We start from the raw sequence: 24668 nt of genomic DNA on the forward strand, positions 1-24668 counted from the left end.
GATCAAACCCAGTAGAGAGCAAACCCACAAATGTAAGAATTTGATCTGTGAAGTAACTCAGATCAGTGGGAAAAGGAATGATTATTCACTAATTGTTTCTCAGACTATTGGCTATTCATATTTTAAAAGGAAAAAATTGGATCCTAACTCAAATATGCCACACCCAAAAATCAGTTAAAGGTTACTTACAGCCTTGAATGTTCAAGATATTACTACATTTTTTAAAGAAATGCAGAAGATCTTTTTGACCTTGGAGAAATAATAATATCAGTCATTTATATAGCATTCACTATGTTTCAGATACTTTTCTCAACATTTTATACCCAATTATTTTAATTTTCATAACAGTCATATAAAGTAAATGCTAATATTGTCCTCATTTCACAAATAAGGAAACTGAGGCAGAGGGGAAACTTGCCTAAGATCACACAGCTAGCAGATGTCTGGTGCCAGAATGTGTGCCCCTAAACAAGACACAAACACAAATAAATTTATTCCTTAAAGGAAAACACTGATAAATAGGACCACATTGGCAAAAAAAAATCTTTGTTTATCTACTTAACTATAAATTGAAAAGATAAGCCACTGATAGAACAGTTTGCTACACATTTAATCCCCCTCCCCTGAAAAAGCCTCAACAGAAGATGTGAATAAACTCTTTATGGAGGAAGAAATTACAAATGGCTAATAAACATAAAAGATATTCTACCTCAATAATGGGGGAAATGTAAATTAAAACAGTAAAATCATTTTACATCAAGGCATTAGAAATTATCAAGTTGTAACATATATTAGCAAATATGTGTAGCTCCTAGGAGTGCAAACTTCATATCTGTTCCAAAAAAATTGGTGTTATCTAGCAAAGGCATACCCTATGAGCCAACAATTCCCTTTCTAGATATGTACCAGATATGATGGAGCTCAGCAAAATATGATCCCCAGGGCAAATGCAGCCTCCAGTCTGTTTTTGCAGCATGGTTTTGCTCATTTATTTACATATTGTCTGTGACTGCTTTTGTGCTGTGATGGAGTAGTGGTGACTGATCCATCTTCTTTTTTCTTGTAAATTTTTTTCCTTTTGTTAGTAATTGACTTTGTTTTGGTTTGCTTTGCTTTTTGTTACCTGGTTTTCATTGAACCTATTGCTAATTTTTGTCAAGAGTTCCATTATCTCTGACTTATGCCTTTAAATATGTTTTGAATACACAAACATCAGTTTCAGTTTTTTCTTCTAAAAACCTCGCTTCTAGAGCTGTGTATTCTTATTCCTTTACTGTCATTTTAGCAATGCTTTCAGAGGGAGGGGAGATAAAATATGTGTGGTCAGTCCACAGTTTTAACTGGAAGACTTACATTTATTACTAATATTTATTGGTTTTAAAATTTAAATGTAGGTCATTTTCCCATCTAGAATTTATTTTTGTATGTAAAATAAAGAAGAAATCCAGCTAAGTTGTTTTTCCAGTGACTGTTTGTCCCTACACTTATTTATTTATTTTAAAGAGACAGAGTCTTGCTCTGTTGCCCAGGCCGGAGTGCTGTTGTATGATCATAGCTCACTGCCTCCTCCAACTCCTGGGCTCAAGCAATCCTCCCACCTCTTCAGCCTCCCTAGGAGCTAGGACTACAGGTATACCATCATGCCCGGCTAATTTAAAAAAAAAATTTTATTGTAGAGACAGGGTCTCACTGTGTTTCCCAGGCTGGTCTCGAGCTCCTGGCCTCAAGCAATCCTCTTGGCCTCAAGTGGTCCTCTTGCATTGGCCTTCAAAGTACTAGGCTTAAAGGTGTGAGCCACCATAACGCCCAGCCCCCTACTCTTATTTTTTAAGTTTATGCTTTTCCTACTTCCCAAAAATGCTATCTTTTCTAAATTTACATCTGTGCATGATATTTTTCACTGTTTTCACTTTCATAAATTTGCTTGCGCATTTGTATGTGAAATCTTCACTGTTCTAATTATAATAACTTTTTTTTTTTTTGAGACAGAGTCTCACTCTGTTGCCCAGGCAGGAGTACAGTGGCGTGATCTCGGCTCACTGCAACCTCTGCCACCAGGGTTCAAGCGATTCTCCTGCCTCGGCCTCCCAAGTAGCTAGGACTACAGGCATGTGCCACCACGCCTAGCTAATTTTTTGTATTTTTTCGTAGGGATGGGGTTTCACCGTGCTAGCCAGGATAGTCTCCATCTCTTGACTTCATGATATGCCCACCGTGGCCTCCCATATAATAACTTTATAGTTTGTTTTGATATCTCATAAAGCAAGTATACTTGTATTTTTTCCAAAAATTTTTCCTGTTTTTTTCTTTTTTTTTTTTTTTGTAAATGAATTTAGAATCAAATCTAAGCCATCCCCATTTTTAAAAAGCTTGTGTTAGAATTGTATTGGAATTCCATTGAATTTACTATTATTTGAGGAAATTTTAGTGTATTTACAATATTGTGCTCCCATCAAGAAACATTGTGTTGCCTGTACATTATGTCAGGTTATATTCTGTGCTTTTCAGGAAAATTATACTGTTTCTTCACATAGATCTTGCCCACTTTGTGTTTGGGTTACAGTGTTTTGTGCTGTGTTTTTTTCCCCTCAATTCAGTCCTATTTACTTATTGTGTTTTAGAAATTCCCCAAAATTTTCACTCTGCCAGTGGTTTCCTTCCTGTTTCATTGCTGTTATAGATATATTCTTTTCTCTTCGTGCTTTTTATATTTTGTTTGTATCTTTAATGGTAGTGAGGAGAAAGAAATTTTACACCCATTCTGACTCTTAGAACCTAAACTGTACACATGACTTATAAAGTTTTTTTAAAAATAAATCTATTTTCTTAGTTTTCTTCCGGAAATATTATTAAAGAGTGCCTAAGAAAAATATCATTAACGTATTAAGATATATACCTACTGTTTTTTTATTTAAATTATAGCTTGAAAGCGAAAAATATGAATTAAAGTCTAAAGTGTTAATAATGAAAGAAACAATAGAGTCGTTAGAGAACAAATTAAAAGTCCAAGCTCAAAAATTTAGCCATGTGGCTGGTGACTCATCTCATCAGAAAACAGAGGTGAACTCACTTAGGTAAGTTTATTCAAAATTTTCTAATTTCATTTCTGGGAATGTGTTTGTGGTTATGTAAAGTTTATAATCATGGCATTTTGGACTGGGCCTTTGTGCAGTAGTTTTAGAAGTTGGCTTTGCAGTAGACTCACCTGGGAGCTTTTGAAAAGTATGAATTTAAGGGGCTGATTTTGGGAGGTTCTAATTCACTGAGAATCTACTGGGGTAGGTTTTGGGTATCTGTGTTTTTTAAAAGAAATTTCACAGATTAATATGATTGCAGGCAAAGTTTTTCAACCTTCTTTTGAAATCCTCTTAAATACTTCAGATCATTTGTATTTCATAGTGTAAGATACTGAAAATTACAGAATTGTTTACTACCTATGCCATTTTCTTTCTCTTTCTTGCCTCTTTCAGTGAAACGTAAAGTCAAAGAATTTACCTCCAATTTTTAACCCTTTCTGACTTAGAAACAGAAGTTTTTAAGTAGGGAGGTAAGACATATCAATAGTGTTCCTTTTAGGAAGCTAACTTTGGTGGAAATATGGAACATGGATTTCAAGTCTTAGAGATTGATGGCAAAAAAAGGAGACCGAGGATCTGGACTGAAGCAGTGGTAATGAACTTAGAGAACAGAGACCAAATTTAAGAAACACTTTTTATATAAAATCAAAAGGTTTAGATGACTAATATGGGGCTGAGAAATACGATAAGTAGAACATTTACCTTAGCATATTGGGTTGTTGGTTAGTCATTAATTAATTTAGAATACAGAAGACTCAAGGAAACAAAAGGCAAACAAAGCTTTTTTTCTGATCAGAGTAGCTGCAATAAGTAACAAGATAATGAAGGTCGGAATAAGGGGACCGCTCTGAAGAATCTGAGGAAATACCTCTCTCTAAATTACATTTGCAGTCAGAATCAGGAAAAGATTTTCAAATGTCAGCAAGACATTACATCTGTGAAACATTTAGTCATGAAACAGTGACAACTTGAGATCAGAAAGGATTATAGTAATGACACTTTAAAAAAAAGATTTAACAAATTAAAACTGAAAAGTTAGTGAATGGCATTGGATATTGGCAGAAAACTGAGTTGGTGAAATAGAAAAAACAAACTGATGAAAGTCACCCAGAACTCCAAAGAACAAAAGTAAATGATGAGAAAAAAGACATAGTTCCAATATACAAAAAACTAGGAATCACAAAAGTATATAGTAAACAGAGCAAATACGAGAATCAAAGGAATTAGGAAAAGAAAAGTCTGAGACTGTAGTTCATAAGGGTTCTCTGATTGTCTAATGACTTAATGAAATAAGACCAAGAACTGGGTGTGTCTAGTTAATTAAGGAATACTATATTAGCGACTCATAAAGAGCATCTCCAGTTTTGTTCTTTTGCTTCTCTGACGATAGTTTTGGTAGGTTAGACCTCAGGAAGAACTAAAGTAGATACTGCTTTTTTCTTTGCTTTTTTCTGTGAGAGGAGAGCTGAATGGACTGGTATCTCCTCTGGCTCATGTCTGGATTCAGCTCTAAAGTACAGATAACATGACATATTCTTGTCATCCAGAATTTCACTTGTCACTTTCGTGTCCAGCTGACTGGATCTAGCATGTAATCCATTTTGTTTTTCCTTGAGATTATGGCTGAAACACCTCTTTTCCTCACAGGAGGCTGTTTCCAGTCTTAGAAGGCAGAGCTCTCAGTGCCCTTTCTTGGATAACCTAGCCTATAGCTCCTTTGGAGTTTTATTTCTTGTACTACTACTAATATCCTTTTCTCTTATGAGCTCAATCAGCCTCTTCCCTCACCTAGGAGTAATTCAGTCACTGGGCTATTGTGAGAATTTTTGTCTACCTTTCTACCAGGTTACCTTGTATAACCTGGGGATATGGCATTATTTTATAACTTTATTTTGCTCTAACAGAAAAATATGACTTATCTTGTCTCTTAGGAAAGTGTATCAATCATATTCTCCATATCAGTAAGTATTGGTAGAACCATGAGTTGAAACCATTGAATCCAAGTCTAAAGCGAAACCAAATACAAACCATGATACCCGGCACTCTTGGGAAGTAAAACTACATTATCTAAACCTTTTGCCACTTTCAGTATGATTAATAGAGCTCTTGCTACCCCTTTGATCACATCATGTTCTCTTTTCCTTGACATGAAGACATTTAAGAAGCTGAGAGTCAGGGCCAGGCATGGTGGCTTATGCCTATAATTTCAACACTTTGGGAGGCCAAGGTGAGAGGATTACTTGAGCCCAGGAATTCAAGAGCAGCCTGGGCAATGTGGTGAAACCTTATCTCTGCAAAAAATACAAAAGTCAACCAGGCATGGTAGCATGTGCCTATATCCCTAGCTACCCGAGAGGCTGAGGCAGGAGGATTGCTTGAGCCTAGGAGTTCAAGGCTACAGTGAGCTGTGCTCATGCCACTGTACTCCAGCCTGGGTGACAGAGTGAGACTGTCTCAGATAGATAAGGCATATGTTCCTTTCCATCCCCCTGAGGTACCCATCTTCTTTTTCCCTATCTTCTTTTTCCCTTCCTGCTTCAGGCTTTTTCCACCACATTTTATTACCAACAAACAGGCTTTTCTATATCAAGCATAATCTTTTTTTTTTTTTTTTTGAGACGGAGTCTTGCTCTGTTGGCCCGGCTGGAGCTCAGTGGCATGATCTTGGCTCACTGCAACCTCTACCTCCCAGCTTCAAGCAATTCTCCTGCCTCAGCCTCCCGAGTAGCTGGGATTACAGGCGCCTGCCACCATGCCCGGATAACTTTTGTATTTTTAGTAGAGAAGGGGTTTCACCATGTTGGCCAGGCTGGTCTCAAACACCTGACCTCATGTGATCCATCCGCCTGGGCCTCCCAAAGTGCTGGGATTACAGGTGTGAGCCACACGCCTGACCTAAGCATAGTTTAATTGTCCAAATAGAGAATCTTTTGTCTAGTTTCTTTGTCTGTTGTCAGAGCACATAATATAAAATCTCACTTTTAACCATGTTTTAAAGTTAAATTACTGTCATCTCCCTTTAATTACAGCATTTAATGAGATCTGGCATTTTATACCCCAGATCAAAGCTACAGAATGCTGTAAAGGAACTTTTGTCTACCCGGGAAGGTTATTCCCCTGGAGCATGCTAGCCAGTCTTTAGAGCTGAGGTCAACAGTCTTTTTTTTCCTTGTAAATAGACAAGAGTCAATATTTTAGACTAAGCTTATCCAACCCACCGTATTTTGTTGTTGTCTGTTTTGTTTTGTTTTAGGCTTTCAGCAGCCTGAAGCCATGGTTTTTAGTCTGTCTCTAGTAATAAGCGAAACAGAGGGTTGAGGAAGAGACTTTACTGGCCCAACCAGAAACAGAACCTAAGAACCTGTGACTGTATTATCTCGCTTGGACACCCTGTTAGACTGTGCCGGCTATATAGTTTATGTCACACCTGCTTAACACTGCCCTTGTAGCTTGAAAGTAGCCCTAGGCAATATATAAAATGAAGTAGTGTGGTATGGACACTGAAATTTTGATTTCATATAATTTTCATATGTCACTAAATAATAATTTTCTATTGAAATTTTTTTTAGTCGTTTAAACATATAAAAACCATTTAAACATGTAAAAACCATTTACACCACTCAGGCCTTACGGAAATTGGCATCCAGCTGTAGTTTGTCAACCCCTGCTCAAGGAAAAATTGTTTCCAGCCCAGTTAGACAACTCAGTTTTCTCAGTCAAGCCCCTAGTAAACATCCTTAAGCCTCACAACTGCGAGCTATGAGGCTCTAAACAATGAGAATCCTGCAGCTGAAAATACTGTCAGACTGTCCTCAGTTCACCTTAGTCTTTATCTGTGTATGTTCAAAACCAGAGGGTATACTCTTATCTAGGATCAAATAGATGCTGTAGCAGATTTTCCTGGAAATGACCCATAAAGTCTATCCCATATATATTAGTTGTTTTACTAGGATTTCTTTAGGTGTATTCAGAAAACCAAATGTAACTAGTCTCCCATGAGAAGTATTTATTTTTTAAGGTAATTGATAACCATTTTATTTTATTTTACTTATTTTGAGACAGGGTCTCACTCTGTCAGGCTGGAGTGCAGTGGCACAATCATGGTTCACTGAAACCTTGACCTCCTGGCTCAAGCAGTCTTCCCACCTCAGCCTCCTGAGTAGCTGGGACTATAGGCATGCACCACTACACTCAGCTAATTTTTAAAAATGTTTGTGGAGACAGGGTCTCACAATGTTGCCCAGGCTGTTCTTGAGCTCCTGGGCTCAAGAGAGGACCATTTTAGATAAGCCAAAGAAGACTCATAAGTTATCTGGATGCTTAAGAACTGTCTTCTGGGCATTCCTAACATTTTTTTTTCTACCAGGACAGGAAGAGGAACCAGAGCCCTGAGTGAGGATGGCTGAGTTTGTGGATCTAGAATTGAAAGGGTCAAGGGATCTAGGGCCACTAGTTACAACCATCATCCCCATCCAGAAATCTAAAAGAAAATCCAGTCCTAATTTCTTTTCCCTCTCTGGCTGATCAAGAGATGATACTTATTCATCTTTCTTAGTGGTAGGCTATAACCATAGACTCCTGGGAGAAATCTAAAATAAAAACAGGGATACCACATCAGTCTCCGTCTTTTTTTTTTTTTTCTAATAGGCCATTAAAATTCCAAACCCATCTTTCCTTTCTTAGATGGTGCTTTAGCTCCATTTTAGAACTTGAACACTTCGTATGAACAGAGGATCCTTTAAGATGCTGTCTTTGTTTAAAATTTACTGCATTATGATGGAAATAATTACCTTTGTCCCCTAAATGAGATCATGTGTAGCTCCATGTAATACAATATAACTGAGGAATTTGAATCTCAAAGAGATGGACCTCTACCCAGTCACATCTGCTAAGTGGAGAGCCAGAACTTAAGTTCATTTTTATTGCTTCACTCTCTGGTGAGAAGTTGTTACTTCCCTTTGCTACGTTTATAGCATTTTCGAAGCTAAGAAACTGGTTCATTTTTCCTAACTTGATTCTCAAAATTTCCTTTCCAAACACGATTATGAACAACTAATAATGGCAGTCACTCAACTATTCTTTCCTATGACTTTTACACCTCAACTGTTTCGTTGAGAGGACCTTTATCTTAGCAAAACTTTGGTCGGAAAAGTTACATTGAAGGTCTGGTATCTAGTCTCTGTTTTCTTCTCTTTCTACCCTAGAATATAAAAAGACGAAGCTACTTTTAGGGCCCACCTAAGGGCTTCCTTTATATGTATATATATCAATCAAGATGTGATCCTGCCTTTGTCAACCCCACTTTCATTAGGACGTCACCCTGCTTTATGAAGTTAGATATAAAGCAGTCTTTACATTTCTACCTGGAATTTCAAGCACTGCCAACTGCTCAGTGTCCTTCATTAAGGTTTCTGCGGGTCATTCTGTTTTTGAAAGGACTCCGTATAGCTTCCTGGCAGGCATTTTCTCTTTCACGTAGAGGAGGTTGGCCTTCCTATATTCTGCAAAGAAGGCATTATGATGTAGTAGAAGAACATTGTTATAATGTTAGACTAGCCTTAATTTGCATATTTTCTTTGCCCTTACTTTCTTTGTGACCTTGGACAAGTTTTTTTGTTGTTTGTATTCAGTTGGGATAACAGTTCTAATTATGGAACCGTCCTAATTATGGTACTGTTCTAGGAATAAATGAGCTAATATGTACAAAGTACCACTCTCTGTTGTTATATCCCATGGAACAGCAGTTCTAGCTTTTAGGAATAGTGTGAATACGGTGCAGTCACCTGAACCTGAACCTCACACATAATTTTAGGAAGTAAGATTGCTTGAACCTAATGTCTTTCTAACTTGGTTTTGTTTAGTTTTGCAAGTCTAAATAAATCAGTCCCAACTTGACTCTCCTCCCTACCTCTTGATCATCATTCACTTGCTGTTAGAACAGTCAGGGTCATGTGTTTTGTCTTTCAGAATACCTCAATACTGCCAGTAAAACTTCTTCATTCCTATAAAGATGTCCCTTCTTATTCGTGGTTTTGGAATTCAAACCTCCTTCCCTTTAGGCGATTCTAAGCTAAGCTACCCTCAGTATCTTTTTCCATGTCTTATTCCTCAAAAGGAAGCCTAAAAGGAATCCATGGAAATTCCTAATAAATACTCTGAGGTGAGAGCCATGTCTTTTCAGCAAGGCAGGATTGTGAAGTCTCAGGTCAGGGCTAAAAGTGTTCTGAAGACTCTGCATGACATGAAAGCAAATTTTTACTGTTAAACCTTCCAGGAACGTTACTTCTGACAAATAATCCTACTGATCAGTAACAGATTTCTCTGAAATCATCTTTGTCGTTAACCATGTAGGCCGCTGTACATCCTTTCTTTTGCTCCCTGAACCAAGTCTTCAATCTGCAGGAAATGCCTACTTTCCCTGCTTTCTGTCACTCCATTTGACTACCCGGCCAAAAAGTCAGAATAAGAAGCAATATTAAAAGTTCACAGGTCAGGGCTGGGAATGGTGGCTCACACCTGTAATCCCAGCACTTTGGGAGACCGAGGCAGATGGATTGCTTGAGCTCAGGAGTTTGAGACCAGCCTGGGCAACATGGTAAAACCCCGTCTCTACTAAAAATAGAAAAATTAGACAGGTGTGGTGGTCCATGTCTGTAGTCCCAGCCTCTAGGGATGCTGAGGTGGGAGGATCACCTGAGCCCAGGAGGCGGAGGTTGCAGTGAGCTGAGATCTCACCACTGCACTCCAGCCTGTGTGTCAGAGGGAGACCCTGCCTCAAACAAACAAAAAAAAGAGCTCACTGGTTGAGATGGTTAGGATTTATGGCTAGTGCTTTGAAATGCCAGGTCATACTGTAAGAACAGGATTTTTCCTTTGCCTCCACTATTGGAAAAAGATTTAAAGGAGAGGGGGTTAACATTAGGAAACTAAGAAGAGCTTTAAAACTACCAAGAAGCTACTAGAAAAGAGCACACAATTAATTTGATTTTTATACTATATTATTTTTAGGAAGATGGAACCATTTTGGAGAAGAATAGTGGACAGCAAGAAATAATAATATATAATGCCATAGATTATACTGGAGGAGCTTTAAAATAAAAAATAGCAAACTTTAAAAATAAGACATCAAAATATTTTTAAGAAATCTCATTTTTTAAACGTATTTCTATGAGAGATAAAGAATACCATTTGTTTTTGTCCATTGATTCTTTAGGATAGTGAATGAGCAGCTACAGCGGTCAGTTGATGACTATCAGCACCGACTTTCCATAAAAAGAGGTGAACTTGAATCAGCCCAAGCACAAATTAAAATACTGGAGGAAAAGATAGGTAAATGTTTTAAAATTTTGTTTCTGCTAATCCTAATGTACTTTGTCTAACAAACATTTCTTTTCATTTGTAGATGAACTAAACCTTAAGATGACTTCACAGGATGAGGAGGCTCATGTAATGAAAAAGACCATTGGTGTTATTGATAAAGAAAAAGACTTTCTCCAGGAGACTGTAGATGAGAAGACAGAAAAGATTGCAAATTTGCAAGAAAACCTAGCTAATAAAGTATGTGATCGTTTAATGTAATTTTCCAGCATCCAAACAGAACAGTTTTTTTTGTTTTTGTTTTTGAGATGGGGTCTCACTCTGTCACTCAGGCTGGAGTGCAGTGGCATGATCACAGCTCACTGCAACCCCTATCTCTTGGGCTCAAGGAATCCCCCAACCTCAGCAATTGGAATTACAGGCATGAGCCACTACTCCTAGCCGGAAAAGTTTATTGTATTTTCACTTATTCATTTCTTTTTTAAAAGGTTTATTTACTTTTGGCAGGATGTGGTGGCTCACACCTGCAATCCCAGCACTTTGGGAGGCTGAGGTGGGAGGATTGCTTGAGCTCAGGAGTTCAAGACAAGCCTGGGCCACGTGGTGAGACTCCATCTCTACCAAAAATACAAAAAATTAGCTAGGTGTGGTGGTGTGCACCTGTGGTCCCAGTTGCTCAGGAAGCTGAGGTGGGAGGATCACTTGAGCCCAGGGGCGGAGATTGCACTGAACTGAGATCATGCCACTGCACTCCAGCCTGGGTGACAGAGCAACACCCTGCCTCTAAATAAATAAATAAATAAAAAGTTTATGTACTTTTATTGGTACATATGAGATGTACATATTTTTGGGTTACACATGGTAATTTGAGACATTCATATAATCAAGTCAGGGTAATTGGGATATTTATCACTTTATTTTTTTCTTTATGCTAGGAATGTGTAAATTACTCTCTTTTAGCTGTTTTGAAATGTGCGCTGGATTGGTGTTAACTGGAGTCACCCTATTGATATCTTTCGAACACCAGGTCTTATTTCTTCTAAGTGTATATTTGTGCCCATTAATCAACCTCTCTTCACGCCTCCTCCCTCATCCTTTTACTGGTCTTTGGTAACTACCAGTCTACTCTCTGTCTTCATGAGATCCACTTTTTAGCACCCACGTATGGGTGAGAACAAATGATATTTGTCTGTCTGTGCTTGACATGTTTCACTTAACATCATGACCTCCAGGTCCATCCATGTTGCTGCAAATGACAGCATTTCATTCATTTTCATGGCTGAATAATATTTCCTGTGTATATATACCGGGGGCAGATATTTCTTTGATATATTGATTTCTTCTCTTTCAGATATTTACTCAATAGTGGAATTGCAGGATCATATGGTAGTTATAGTTTTAGTTTTTTGAGGAACCTTCATACACTGTTTTCCATAGTGGCTGTACTAATTTACATTCCCACCAACAGTGTACAAGAGTTCCTGTTTCTCCATATCCTTTCCAGCATCGGTTATTCCCCATCTTTTTGATAAAAAGCATTCTAACTGGGGTGAGACGATATCTCATTGTGGTTTTAATTTGCATTTCTCTGATAATTAGTCATGTTGAGCATTTTTTCACATGCTTTTTGGCCATCTGTATATTTTCTTTTGAGAACTGTCTATGAAAATCTTTGCCCGTTTTAAAATTGGATTATTTGGAGTTTTTTTGCTATTGAGTTGTTTGGGCTCCTTGTATGTTCTGGTTATTAATCCCTTGTCAGATGGATAGTTTGCAGATATTTTCTCCCATTCTGTAGGTTGTCTCTTCACTTTCTTAATAGTTTCCATTGCTGTGCAGAAGCTTTTTGGCTTAATGTAATCCCATTTGTCTCTTTCTACTTTTGTTGCCTGTGCTTTTAAAGTCTTACACAGACAATATTTGTCCACACCAATGTCTTAGAGCATTTCCCCAACATTTTCTTCTAGTAGTTCCATAGTTTCAGGTCATAGATTTGAGTCTTTAATCCACTTTGATTTGAGTTTTGTATATGGTAAGAGATAGTGGGCCAGTTTCATTATTCTGTATATGGTTATCCAGTTTTCCCAGCACCATTTATTGAAAAGACTGCCCTGTCCCCATTGTATGTTCTTGGCATCTTGTTGAAAATGAGTTGGCTTTAAATGTGTGGATTTATATCTGGGTCCCCTATTATGTTCTGTTGGTCTGTGTGTCTTGTTTTTACACCAATACCATGCTGATTGGATAGCTGTATGGTATATTTTGAAGTCAGTTAGTGCGATCTCCAGCTTTGTTTTTTTGCTCAGGATTGCTTTGGCTATTTGGGGTCTTTAGTGGTTCCAATTTATTTGAGGATTTTTTTTTCTATATCTGTGAGAAATGTTGATCGTGTTCTAATAGGGATTACATTGAATCTGTAAATTGCTTTGGGTATTATTATCATTTTAACAACATTAATTCCTTCAATCCATGAGTATGGAATATCCTTCCATTTTTTTATGGCCTCTTCTATTTCTTTCATCAGTGTTTTGTAGTTTTCCTTGTATAGATCTTGCATATATTTGGTTAAATTGATTCCTGGGTGTTTTCTATTCTTTGCAGCTATTGTAAATGGAATTGTTTTGTTGATTTATTTTTCAGATTGCTGGTGGAGTATAAAAATGCTGTTGATTTTTGTAATCTTGATTTTGTATTGTGCAACTTACTGAATTTGCTTATCAGTTCCCACAGTTTTTTAGTGGAGTCTTAAGGTTTTTCTAAATACAAGATCATGTGGTCTGCATATAAGGCTAATTTGACTTCTTCTTTTCAATTTGGATGCCCTTTTTTTCTTTCTCTTGACTAATTGTTCTGGCCAGGACTTCCAGGATTATGTTAAATAAAAGTGTGAAAGTGGGCATCCTTGGCTTGTTCCAGATCTTAGAGGAGAGGCTTTCAAGTTTTCCCCGTTCAATATTATGTTGGCCCTAGGGTTAGGCCTCTGTTATTTTGAGGTATTTTCTTTCTGTACCCTTTGTTGAGGGTTTTTACAAAAACGGGATGTTGCAACTTATTGAATGCTTTTTCAGCATCTATTGAAATGATTTATATGGTTTCTCTTCTTGCTTCTGTTAATGTATCACATTTATTGATTGTGCATGTTGAACCATCCTTGCATCCTTGGGATGAATCCCACTTGATCATGGTGAATGATCTTTGTAATTTATTTAAAAAATATTGTTGAATTTAGTTTGCTAGTATTGTGTTGAGGATTTTTGCATATATTTGCATCAATGATATTGGCCTGTAGTTTTCTTTTTTTGTTGTGTTTTTGGTATCAAGATAATGCAGGCCTTGTAGAATGAATTTGAAAGTATTCCACCCTTTTCAATTTCCTTGAAGAGTTTGAGCAGGAATTGGTATTAGTTCTTTAGATGTTCAGTAGAGTTCAGCAGTGAAGCCATTAGGTCCTGGACTTTTCTTTTGTGGAAGACTTTATTACAGCTTCTATCTTATTACATGCTATTGGTTTGTTGAAGTTTTCTATTTCTTCATGGTTCAAACTTGGTAGCTTGTAAGTGTCCAGGAATTTCTCCATTTCTTCTAGGTTTTCCAATTTGTTGACATGTGATTGTAATTGTCTTTCATGATTCCTTGTATTTTCTGTGGTCACAATTATGTCCCCTTTTTTGTTTCTGATTTTATTTATTGGGTCTTCTCTCTTTTTTTATTAGTCAACCTTAAAGGTTTGTTGATTTTTGTTTATCTTTTTTAAAAACCAACTTTTCATTTCATTGATCTTTTGTATTTTCTTTTTTTTTGAGACGGAGTCTCGCTTTGTCGCTCAGGGTGGAGTGCAGTGGCACGATCTTGGCTCACTGCAAGCTCCGCCTCCCGGGTTCATGCCGCCTCCCGGGTTCACGCCATTCTCCTGCCTCAGCCTCCCGAGTAGCTGGGACTGTAGGTGCCCACCACCACACCTGTCTAATTTCTTTTTGTATTTTTAGTAGAGATGGGGTTTCACCATGTTAGCCAGGATGGTCTCAATCTCCTGACCTACTGATCCGCCCGCCTCGGCCTTCCAAAGTGCTGGGATTAGAGGTGTGAGCCACTGTGCCTGGCTGATCTTTTATATTTTCATCTCAATTCCATTTATTTTTGCTCTGATCTTTATTCTTTCTGGCCTTCTACTAACTTGGAGTTTGGTTTGTTCTTGCTTTTCTAGTTCCTTTCTAGTTTCTGGTTGAGGTACATCATCACTAGTTTGTTTATTCGAAGTCTTTCTAGTTGAGGTACATCATCACTAGGTTGTTTATTTGAAATCTTTTTTTGTTTTGTTTTTTTTTTTGTTTTTGAGACAGAGTCTCACTGTATTGCCCAGGCTGAAGTGCAGTAGCAAGATCATGGCTCATTGCAGCCTTGACCTTTCAGACACAAGCAATCCTCCTACCTCAGCCTCCCAATTAGCTGGTACTACAGACGTGTACTACCATGCCCAGCTAATTTTTAATTTTTTTGTAGAGACGGTGTCTTACCATGTTTCCCAGGCTGGTCTCCAACTCCTAGTCTCAAGCAGTCCTCTGGCTCAGCCTCCCCAAGTGCTGGGATTACAGGCATGAGCCACCATGCTCAGCCTCAACTTTTTTGATACAGACATTTATTGCTATAAACTTCCCTCTTAGCACTGTTTTTGCTGTATTTCACAGATTTTGGTACATTATATTTCCCTTTTCATTTGTTTCAAGAATTTTTTTAATTGCCTTTTTAATTTCTTCATTGACCCATTGGTCATTCGAGAGCAACTGTTGTTTAATTTCCATGTGTTTGTGTAGTTTCCAGCGTTTCTCTTATTGATTTCTAGTTTTATTCTGTTTTATTCAGAAAAGATACTTGATATGCTTTCTACTTTCTTGAATGTGTTGAAACTTGTTTTGTGGCATGAACTATGGTCTATTCTGTAGAACGTTCCATGTGCTGATAAAAGGAATTTATTCTGCAGCAGTTGGGTGAAATGTTCTGTAAATGTCAGTTGGGCATATTTGTCTAGTGTATAGATTAACTCCAATGTTTCTTTGTTGATTTTATGTCAACATGATCTGTCCATTACTGATAGTGGGGTGGTGAAGTCCCCTACCATTATCGTATTGCAGTGTGTCTCTCTTTTTAGATCTATTAATGTTTGCTTTATATACCTGGGAACCTGGTGTTGGGTGCATAAATATGTATAATTATTATACTCTCTTTCTGTATTGACCCCTTTATAATTCTATATAGTGACCTTTGTTGTCTCTTTATAGTCTTTGACTTGTAGGCTACTTTATCTGATATAAGTAAAGCTACTCCTTCTGTTTTTTGCTTGCATGGAATATCTTTTTCCATCCATTCACTTTCAGTCTTATTTGTGTCTTTATAGGTGAAGTGGGTTTCCTGTAGGCAGTATATAGTTGGGTCTTATTTTTAACCATTCAGACACTCAGTCTTTTAATTGGAGAATGGAGTTAGTTCAGTGTTGTAATTGATATGTAAGGACTTAATGCTGCCATTTTTTTTTTTTTTTTTTGCTTCTTTTCTAGTTGTTTTATAACTCTTCTCTTTCTTCCCTTTTTATTGTCATCCTTCGTGGTTAAGTGATTTTCTCTGGTAGTATGTTTTAATTAATTGCTTTTTATAGCTTTTTACACTGTGGTTACCATGAAGCTTACAAAACGTATCTTTCTAAGTTATTTTAAAGAACTGACAACTTACCTTAGGTTACACACACACAATAAAAACAAAGAAGACCAGGCATATTGGCTCACACCTGTAATCCCAACACTTTGGGAGACAAAGATCAGAGGATTGCTTGAGGCCACAAGTTTAACGTAGTGAGACCCCATCTCTACAAAAATAAAAAAATTAGCTCAGCATGGTGGTACCTGTAGTCCCAGATATTCAGGAGCCTGAGGCAGGAGGATCACTTGAGCCCAGGAGTTTAAGGCTGTAATGAGCTATGATCATACCATTACACTTCAAGTCTGGGTGACAGAACAAGACCCAGTCTCTAAAAAACAAACAAACAAAACAAAAAACCCACAAAGACATAACTAAAAAAAAATTCTACTCTTTATCTCCCTCGCATTTTGACTTGTGGTTGTCTTAATTTACAGATTTGTATATTGCCTATCTCTTAACAGGTTGCTGTAGCTATTATTGTTTTTGATAGATTAGATTTTTAGGCTTCATACTAGAATTATAAGTGGATTGTATACCACAACTACAGTATCACAGTATTCTGGGTTTGTCTCTGTATTTAATTTTACCAGTGGGTTTTATACCTTCAAATGTTTTCTTTTTGCACGTTAGTTTTTTTCTTTCAAATTGAAAAACTCCCTTAGCATTTCTTTTAAGATATGCCTGTTCGTGGTGAATTCTCTTAGCTTTTGTTTATCTGGGAAGGACTTTATATCTTCATATTTGAAGGGCACTTTTTTTGGATGACATATTCTTGTATGGCAGTTTTTTTCTTTTAGTACTTTGAAAATGATAGTCTACTTCCTCTTGGCCTGTATGGTTTCTTTTGAGAAGTCTGTTTCTAGATGAATTGGAGTTCCTTTATATGTTATTTGCTTTTCTCTTCTTGCTTTTAGGATCCTATCTTTGTCCTTGACCTTGGAGAGTTTATTATATGCCTTGGGGCAGTCTTTTTGGGGTTGAATCTCTTTGGTGTTCTCTGACCTTCGTACACCAGGAAATTTATCTTTCTCAAGTTTTGGAAAGTGTTCTGTTATTATTTCTTTGAGTAAGCTTTCTACCCCTTCATCTTGCTCAACTCCCTCTTGAACACCAGTAATCCTTAGGTTTTGTATTTTTCTATATCTTGTAGGCAATTTTTGTTCCTTTTTATTCTTTTGTTGTTGTTGTTCTCCTTTGACTGCGTAATTTCAAATAGCTTGTCTTCAAGCTCACTGATTCTTGCCTTTGCTTGATCCATTCTCCTGTTGAGATCCTCCAATGAATTTTTCAGCTCAGGAAATGTATTTCTCAATTCTAAGATTTGTTTGACATTTTTTATTATTTCAACCTCTTTGTTAAATTTCTCTGATATGAGCCAAGTGTGGTGATGTGCACCTGTGGTTCCAACTACATGGGAGGCTGAGGCAGGAGGATCCGTTGAGTCCTAGGTGGTTGAGTCTGCAGTGAGCCATGATTACACCACTGCACTCCAGCCTGGGCGACAGAATGAGACCCTGTCTCAAAAAAATATATTAAAAATTTTTTTCTGATACATTTCTGAATTTTCTGTGTTATCTTGGAGATCACTGAATTTCCTTGATACCTCAATTTTGAATTCTTGGCCAGAGAGCTCAGGTGTCACTGTCTTGTCAGGATCAATCACTGGTTCCTTGCTTTGTCCATTTGGAGAGTTCATGGTCCCCTGTTTGCTGTTGTTTCTTGCAGATGTATGTCTGTGTCTTTGAAGGATTAGTTATTTACTCCAGTCTTCTCTGTCTGGCTTGTTTTTTGTTGTTGTTTTTGTTTTTGTTTTTTGAGACAGAGTCTTGCTCTGTCACCTAGACTGGAGTGCAGTGGCATCATCTCAACTCACTGCAACCTCCGTCTCCTGAGTTCAAGCTATTCTCCTGCCTCAGCCTCCCGAGTAGCTGGAATTACAGGCACGCAACACCACACCTGGCTAATTTTTGTATTTTTAGTAGAGATGGCATTTCACCATGTTGGCCAGGCTGGTCTCGAACTCCTGATCTCAGGTGATCCACCTGCCTCAGCCTCCCAAAGTGCTGGGATTACAGGCCTGAACCACCACACCCAGCCTGGCTTGTTTTGGTTTTCATTGGTTACATTTGCTTAGAGATTCTTCAAACTTTATTGAATTTCATTATACTTTTTTTCCTAGGTCACTGCCTCCTTTTTGTCACTAGATGGTGGCTAAAGCCCAAGTTTGCCTTGGCTTTAGTGAATGCTCAGACCCCTGCCCATCTGGGATGGGGGAGGTCCCAAAGGGGATGTCCCAGCAGTGTGGAAGGGCTAGCTAAGGGTTTGTGCCCAGGGGACCTGTGGAATGTACCTCCTACAGCATGTTGTTACTGAACTACCACTCTGATTGGGTGTCTTTGGCTGAGTAATAGAGAAGAGTTTCCAGGGATGAGGAGGTAGTCCTACATCCCCACTTAGTCTCTGGGTATCCTCAGGGACAGGTCTCCCTTCAGGTATCCATGATGTTTCCTGTGTGTTGAGGCATGGAACAGGTCTCCTGCCAAATTACCCAAGATAGTAGAAAAGCTGATTGTCCACCTCAATCTCACTTTTTCCGGTGTAGAAACCATGAGTTAGGGGAGATTTTCCAGGTACTTGGTGCCAGCCAGATTGAGAGAAGGGGCATCACAGGTGTGAAAATTCGATTCTGTCACTGTCTGCTCAGAGGTTTTTTACGTCTCTGTGGCCCAGGAACTGACTCGTCCTCATATTTGAGTCCTGGGATAGTGCTGATGATAATGTTAGCATTGTATATTTATTTTTGGTTTTCTTTGTCAGGATTGAAGTCAGCTTGTGACTACACCACCATTTTAGACCCAGAAGTTTCCCAAATATGCAGTTATTATTGGCCATGTAGAAGTTTCTAAGACCTAGGGCCATATTTTCTAATGTTTAAATGTCATTTTTTTCAAATAATGTTAATCTTCAAAATGTGATTTTGTCTATTTCTAGAATGTGATTTTATCAGATCTCATTAAAGCAAACTCAAGAAAACTATTCAAGGGTTGGTCAAAACATGCCAGTATGTGAAGTATGATTGGGACATGGAGATATGTTTACTTGGAGCTTTGTTTTAGGCATACTTTATATAATTGAGCTGTGTATTTGAACTATATGAATATGACAAGTTACATAAATTTAGCTAAAGACATTTTGGTTTAAAATCTTACACATTTTTGTAATTTCTATAGGAAAAAGCTGTTGCTCAAATGAAGATAATGATCTCAGAGTGTGAATCATCTGTGAAGTAAGTCATTAATGAAATTACATCCAGCTTTTTAGGAGATTTTCAGTGAATACAGCTTTATCTATTCAGTAGCATTGCAGCAATAGAAGAATTTCCCTTTCAATTTCCCCATTTTTGTCAATGGTAGCATCATTTTCTCAGTCTCCAGCTTGAAAATGTTATCTTCTTTAACCTCTCCTTTTCTGTCATCCACATCTAAACACTTATGTCTTATTAACTATTCTCCTATATACCTATTTGTTCCTTATTTTTACTATAATTATGCCACTTGGAGCCTAATCATTAAAACCTAAAATTACTTTAGTAGCCAATCTCGAATTTATTCTCCATCTAAACCTATCTTGAGCACTGTCACAAAATTTTACATTTTATGTATAGTCTCTCTAGGCAGATTGTAAGCCACTTCAAGAAAAAAGTCACTTATTATATTTATTTTACATACCCTTAACATTTTATATAATAGTGGGGATTATAAACATTTAATAAATATTTGCCAATTGAATCTATGCTTTACTTTTTGTTTGTTTGTTTTTGAGACAAGGTCTCACTCTGTCGCACAGGCTGGAGTGTAGTGGCGAGATCTCTGCTCACGGCAACCTCACCCTCCCCAGGCTCAGGTGATCCTCCCACCTCAGCCTTCTGAGTAGCTGAGACTGCAGGCGTGTGCCACCACGCTCAGCTAATTTAAAAAAAAATTTTTGTAGAAACAACGTCTCCCTATATTGCCCAGGCTGGTCTCGAACTCCTGGGCTCAAGCTATTCAACTGTTTTTGTTGTTGTTGTTGTTTTTTGTTGTTGAGACGGAGTCTCGCTCTGTTGCCCAGGCTGGAGTGCAGTGGGGCGATCTCGGCTCATTGCAAGCTCTGCCTCCCGGGTTCACGCCATTTTCCTGCCTCAGCCTCCCAAGTAGCTGGACTACACGTGCCCGCCACCACACCCGGCTATTTTTTTTTGTATTTTTAGTAGAGACGGGGTTTCACCGTGTTAGCCAGGATGGTCTCTATCTCCTGACCTCATGATCTGCCCGCCTCGGCCTCCCAAAGTTCTGGGATTACAGGCGTGAGCCACCGCGCCCAGCCCCCAAGCTATTCAACTTTTAACACTTGAAAGTTTTCTGTGTTTACTTGACTGTTGGAATAACATTTTTTTTTAACTTCATTTGCATGTAATTATTGGTAGAGCTCTAAAATACCTGTTCTACCTAATTAATAGGTCTCTTAATGCAGCAGTTATAATTTCTTATAATCACAGTATATTTGTATTCTAAGTATACTTAGACTATAAGTTTTCTTTTAAATGAACTACAGTTTTTAAAAGTTTTCTTTATTAGTTTCACATCACTCATTTAACAGCCAGCTGAAAGAAACATTGGTTAATCGAGATCGTGAGATAAACAGCCTCCGGCGCCAGCTTGATGCAGCTCACAAAGAACTCGATGAAGTAGGAAGATCTAGAGAAATCGCTTTTAAGGAAAACAGAAGACTGCAAGATGACCTGGCTACAATGGCAAGAGAAAATCAAGTATGAACACAAGGCATAAATTTTGATAGTTTTATACTTTCCATTGTTTGCTAAATATTAAAGCTCTAAATATTTTTTCTAAAATCTGATGATATAAAAATAAGTGACATAAATAATTCATTAAGGACAATGGTGTTTATCAGGGTATTAAAAAATGGAGCTTAGGCCGGGCGCAGTGGCTCACACCTGTAATCTTAGCACTTTCAGAGGCTGAGGTGGGTGGATCACTTGAGGTCAGGAGTTCGAGACCAGCCTGGCCAACATTGTGAAAACCCCCCCCCCACCCCCATCTCTACTAAAAATACAAAAATTAGCCAGGCCTGGCGGCATGCGCCTGTAATCCCAGCTGCTCGGAAGGCTGAGGCAGGAGAATCACCTGAACCTGGAGGCAGAGGTTGCAGTGAGCCGAGATCGTGCCACTGCACTCCAGCCTGGGCAACAGAGTGAGACTCCATCCAAAAAAAAAAAAAAAAAATGGGCAACAGCGTGAGACTCTGTCAAAAAAAAAACACATAGCTTAGAATGCTGCTATATATCACAGGGTGTCTAATGGGTGCAACTGGTCTTCTCACCATTTTGGTCTTTGTTGCAAGGAAACCTAAAGGTGGGAGCATGAAATTCTGTATGTCAGAAATCATTGTCACCCTACCGGGCGAGGACATCAGCATCCCTCCCAGAGCAAAGTTTCTGTGTTTTAAAGACTCAGGATAGGTTTTAATTATTTGTGCAAGCTTCTGTCGGCTCCAAAATACACCTGTAGATAAATGAATGAGTGTTTTAGAATGGCAAGTACTGAAAGGTGTTAGTTCTGTTCGTGCTGGTTTCTTAAAAGATTGTACTGAGAAAACCAGTGATTTTACTGTTTTAAACATCTTACGTTTTTAAAAAATTATTTTCCGTATTATTCAGCATAAAGCATATTGATGAAATATGAATGTTTTTTAATGTCAACCCCTGACCATAGCTAGCCTTTAGTGTAAATGCCAGATACATGATCAGGACTATTATGGGAAATGTGTGATAAAGTTTGGTTAAAAAGTCAGTATCAGACCAGGCGTGGTAGCTCACGCCTATAATCCCAGCACTTTCGGAGACCAAAGTGGGAGGATTGCTTGAGCCCAGGAGTTTGAGACCAGGCTGGACATCATAGTGAGACCTCATCTCAGAAAATTAAAAAAAAAAATTAGCTGGTATGGTGACATGTGCCTGTGGTCTCAGCTACTCGGAGGGCTGAAGTGGAAGGATTGCTTGAGCCCAGAAGGTCGAGGCTGCAGTGAGCTGTGATCACGCCATTGCACTTCAGTCTGGGCGACAGAATGAGACTCTGTCTGAAATATTTTAAAAGGCAAGATCAGCCAGGAAAAATATGTGAAAATAACACTTAGGAACAGTTTTCCTTTTGCCCTACTCTATCTTATTCTCCAATTCCAAAGGAATTATTTGAATATAAATAAAATTTATTTGGTGTTGTGTTCATTTTAGATTGTCTTTAATTTTCTGATTTGTAGGAAATCTCATTGGAATTGGAAGCAGCAGTGCAAGAAAAAGAAGAAATGAAGAGCAGAGTTCATAAATACATAACAGAGGTGTCACGATGGGAGAGCTTAATGGCTGCCAAGGTGAAAAATATTATTTAGGTTGGATTTAAGACTGAGGTTTTTTTTTTTTTTAACTTTTTCATGTGCCTCTACAATTAGATATTAAACATTTTAAAGTAGAGATCTTGTCTACTGCCTTTTTCTATTTTTCCCATAGATTTTAGTGTGGTACCTGCACAGATATCTAATGCTTCCTAAATTAGAACAGAATGCTGTGTATGTGTATGTGTTTATGACATAGGTGTTCCAGGAAGTGACAATTACTAATTTAGAAACAATTTTATTGTGATTAAACCAGGAAAAAGAAAATCAAGATTTGTTAGATAGATTTCAGATGCTTCATAACCGTGCTGAAGACTGGGAGGTCAAAGCCCATCAAGCTGAGGGAGAAAGCAGCTCAGTTCGACTGGAACTTCTTTCTATTGACACTGAGAGGAGACATCTTCGAGAAAGAGTGGAGCTATTAGAAAAAGAAATTCAAGAGGTAATATATTTATTTGTTTTGTAAAGATGTTATTTAGTGAAACAGAAAACATTCAAAGATACTTTATTTATTTATTTATTTATTTTTTTTGAGATGAAGTCTGACTCTGTTGCCCAGGCTGGAGTGCAATGGCACGATCTTTGCTTACTGCACCCACCTCCTGGGTTCAAGCGATTCTTCTGTCTCAGCCTCCTGAGTAGCTGGGATTATAGGAGTGTGCCACCACACCTGGCCAATTTTTTGTAGTTTTAGTAGAGATGGGGTTTCACCGTGTTGGCCAGGCTGCTCTCGAACTCCTGACCTTGAGTGATCCACCTGCCTCAGCCTCCCAAAGTGCTGGGATTACAGGCATGAGCCACCGCACCCGGCCTCAAAGATACTTTATTGACCTGAGGTCGTAAACATTGATAAAATCAAGTTCAGTGGTAAATTTCTGTCATTCTCATAATTTGCATAGAAGCCCATTACTTTTTTTTGTAGTAAAAGATACATACATCAAATTTCCCATTTTAACTATTTTTAAGTAGACAGTTCTGTGGCATTAGTACATTCACAATGTTGTGTAACTATCACCATTATTTGTCATTCTGCTTTCTGTCACTATGAATTCGATTACTCTAGATACCTCATATAGTGGAATCACACAATGTTTGTCCTTTTGTGACTGATTTCACTTAGCCTTAAGGTTTACTTTACCTCAAGGTTCATCCATATTGTGTAGCATGTGTCAGAATTTCATCCTTTTTTAAGGCTGAATAACATTTCATTGTATGTATGTACCACATTTTTGTTTAGCCATTCCTCTGTCAATGGACATTTGATTTGTTTCTACCTTTTGGCTGTTGTGAATAATGCTGCTATGAACATGAGTATACAAATATATCTGTTCGGGTGCTTGCTTTCAGTTCTTTTGGGTATATACCCAGAAGTGGAATTACTGGATCATATGATAATTCTGTGTTTAATTTTTTGAGGAATAGCCATGTGGTTTTTCCGTAGGTGCTACACCATTTTACATTTCTACCAGCAATGCACGAGGGTTCCAGTTGCTCCATATCCTTGCCAACACTTGTAATTTTTTTATTTTTTATAAGAGCCGTCATAATGGGAATAGAGCGGTATCTCGTGGTTCTGATTTGCATTTCCTTAATGGTTAGTGATGTTGAGCATCTTTTCATTTGTTTATTGACGATTTGTGTATCTTCTTTGGAGACATGCTTATTCAAATCCTTTGTTCATTTTTTAATCAGATTGTTTTAAATTGTTGTTGTAGAAGTTCTTTACATATTCTGGAGATTAATACCTTAGTGTATACGTGATTTGCAAATATTTTCTCCCATTGTGTGGGTTGCCTTTTCAACAGTTTTTGATGTACAGAAGTTTTCAATTTAAATGAAGTCCAATTTTTTTTTTCCTTTGATGCCTATACTTGTGGTGTCATATCCAAGAAATTATTGTTAACTGCAATGTCATAAAGCTTTTCCCCTATGTTTTCTAATAAGAGTTTTATAGTTTTAGCTCATATATTCAGGTCTTTGTTTCATTTTGAGTTAATTTTTACAAATGATATAAGAGCCCAGCATCATTTTTTTGCATGTGGATTTAAATAAGATTTTGTCATAAAGACAGTCTGATAAAAATCTCATAATAAAAAATTTGAGTTCAGTTAAAATATAGGGACCCTGGGTTAGATT

The 24668-nt window shown here is 37.8% G+C and overlaps 1 protein-coding gene across 4 annotated transcripts in view, besides 1 other annotated feature; it reads left to right on the forward strand.

The window, feature by feature from the left end:
• The window catches only part of CEP135 (centrosomal protein 135), an 84417-nt gene that overhangs the window by 40067 nt on the left and 19682 nt on the right, over nucleotides 1-24668 (forward strand). For all 4 annotated transcript variants that reach the window (NM_025009.5, XM_006714055.4, XM_005265788.5 and 1 more), the window contains 7 exons: nucleotides 2923-3074; nucleotides 10291-10406; nucleotides 10480-10634; nucleotides 19316-19371; nucleotides 20724-20892; nucleotides 22401-22511; nucleotides 22789-22974. In NM_025009.5, coding sequence (NP_079285.2) covers nucleotides 2923-3074; nucleotides 10291-10406; nucleotides 10480-10634; nucleotides 19316-19371; nucleotides 20724-20892; nucleotides 22401-22511; nucleotides 22789-22974 — 945 coding nt within the window. The remainder of the gene's footprint in view (nucleotides 1-2922; nucleotides 3075-10290; nucleotides 10407-10479; nucleotides 10635-19315; nucleotides 19372-20723; nucleotides 20893-22400; nucleotides 22512-22788; nucleotides 22975-24668) is intronic.
• Nucleotides 1968-2127: an enhancer, noted in NCBI's record as "active region_21576". NCBI's record gives its function as "activates an Ori minimal core promoter by ATAC-STARR-seq in GM12878 lymphoblastoid cells {active_cell/tissue: GM12878}" and the evidence as "EXISTENCE:reporter gene assay evidence [ECO:0000049][PMID:35858748]".

This window comes from Homo sapiens, chromosome 4 (genome assembly GCF_000001405.40).
Source record: "Homo sapiens chromosome 4, GRCh38.p14 Primary Assembly".
In the NCBI taxonomy this organism is placed as follows: Eukaryota; Metazoa; Chordata; class Mammalia; order Primates; family Hominidae; genus Homo; species Homo sapiens.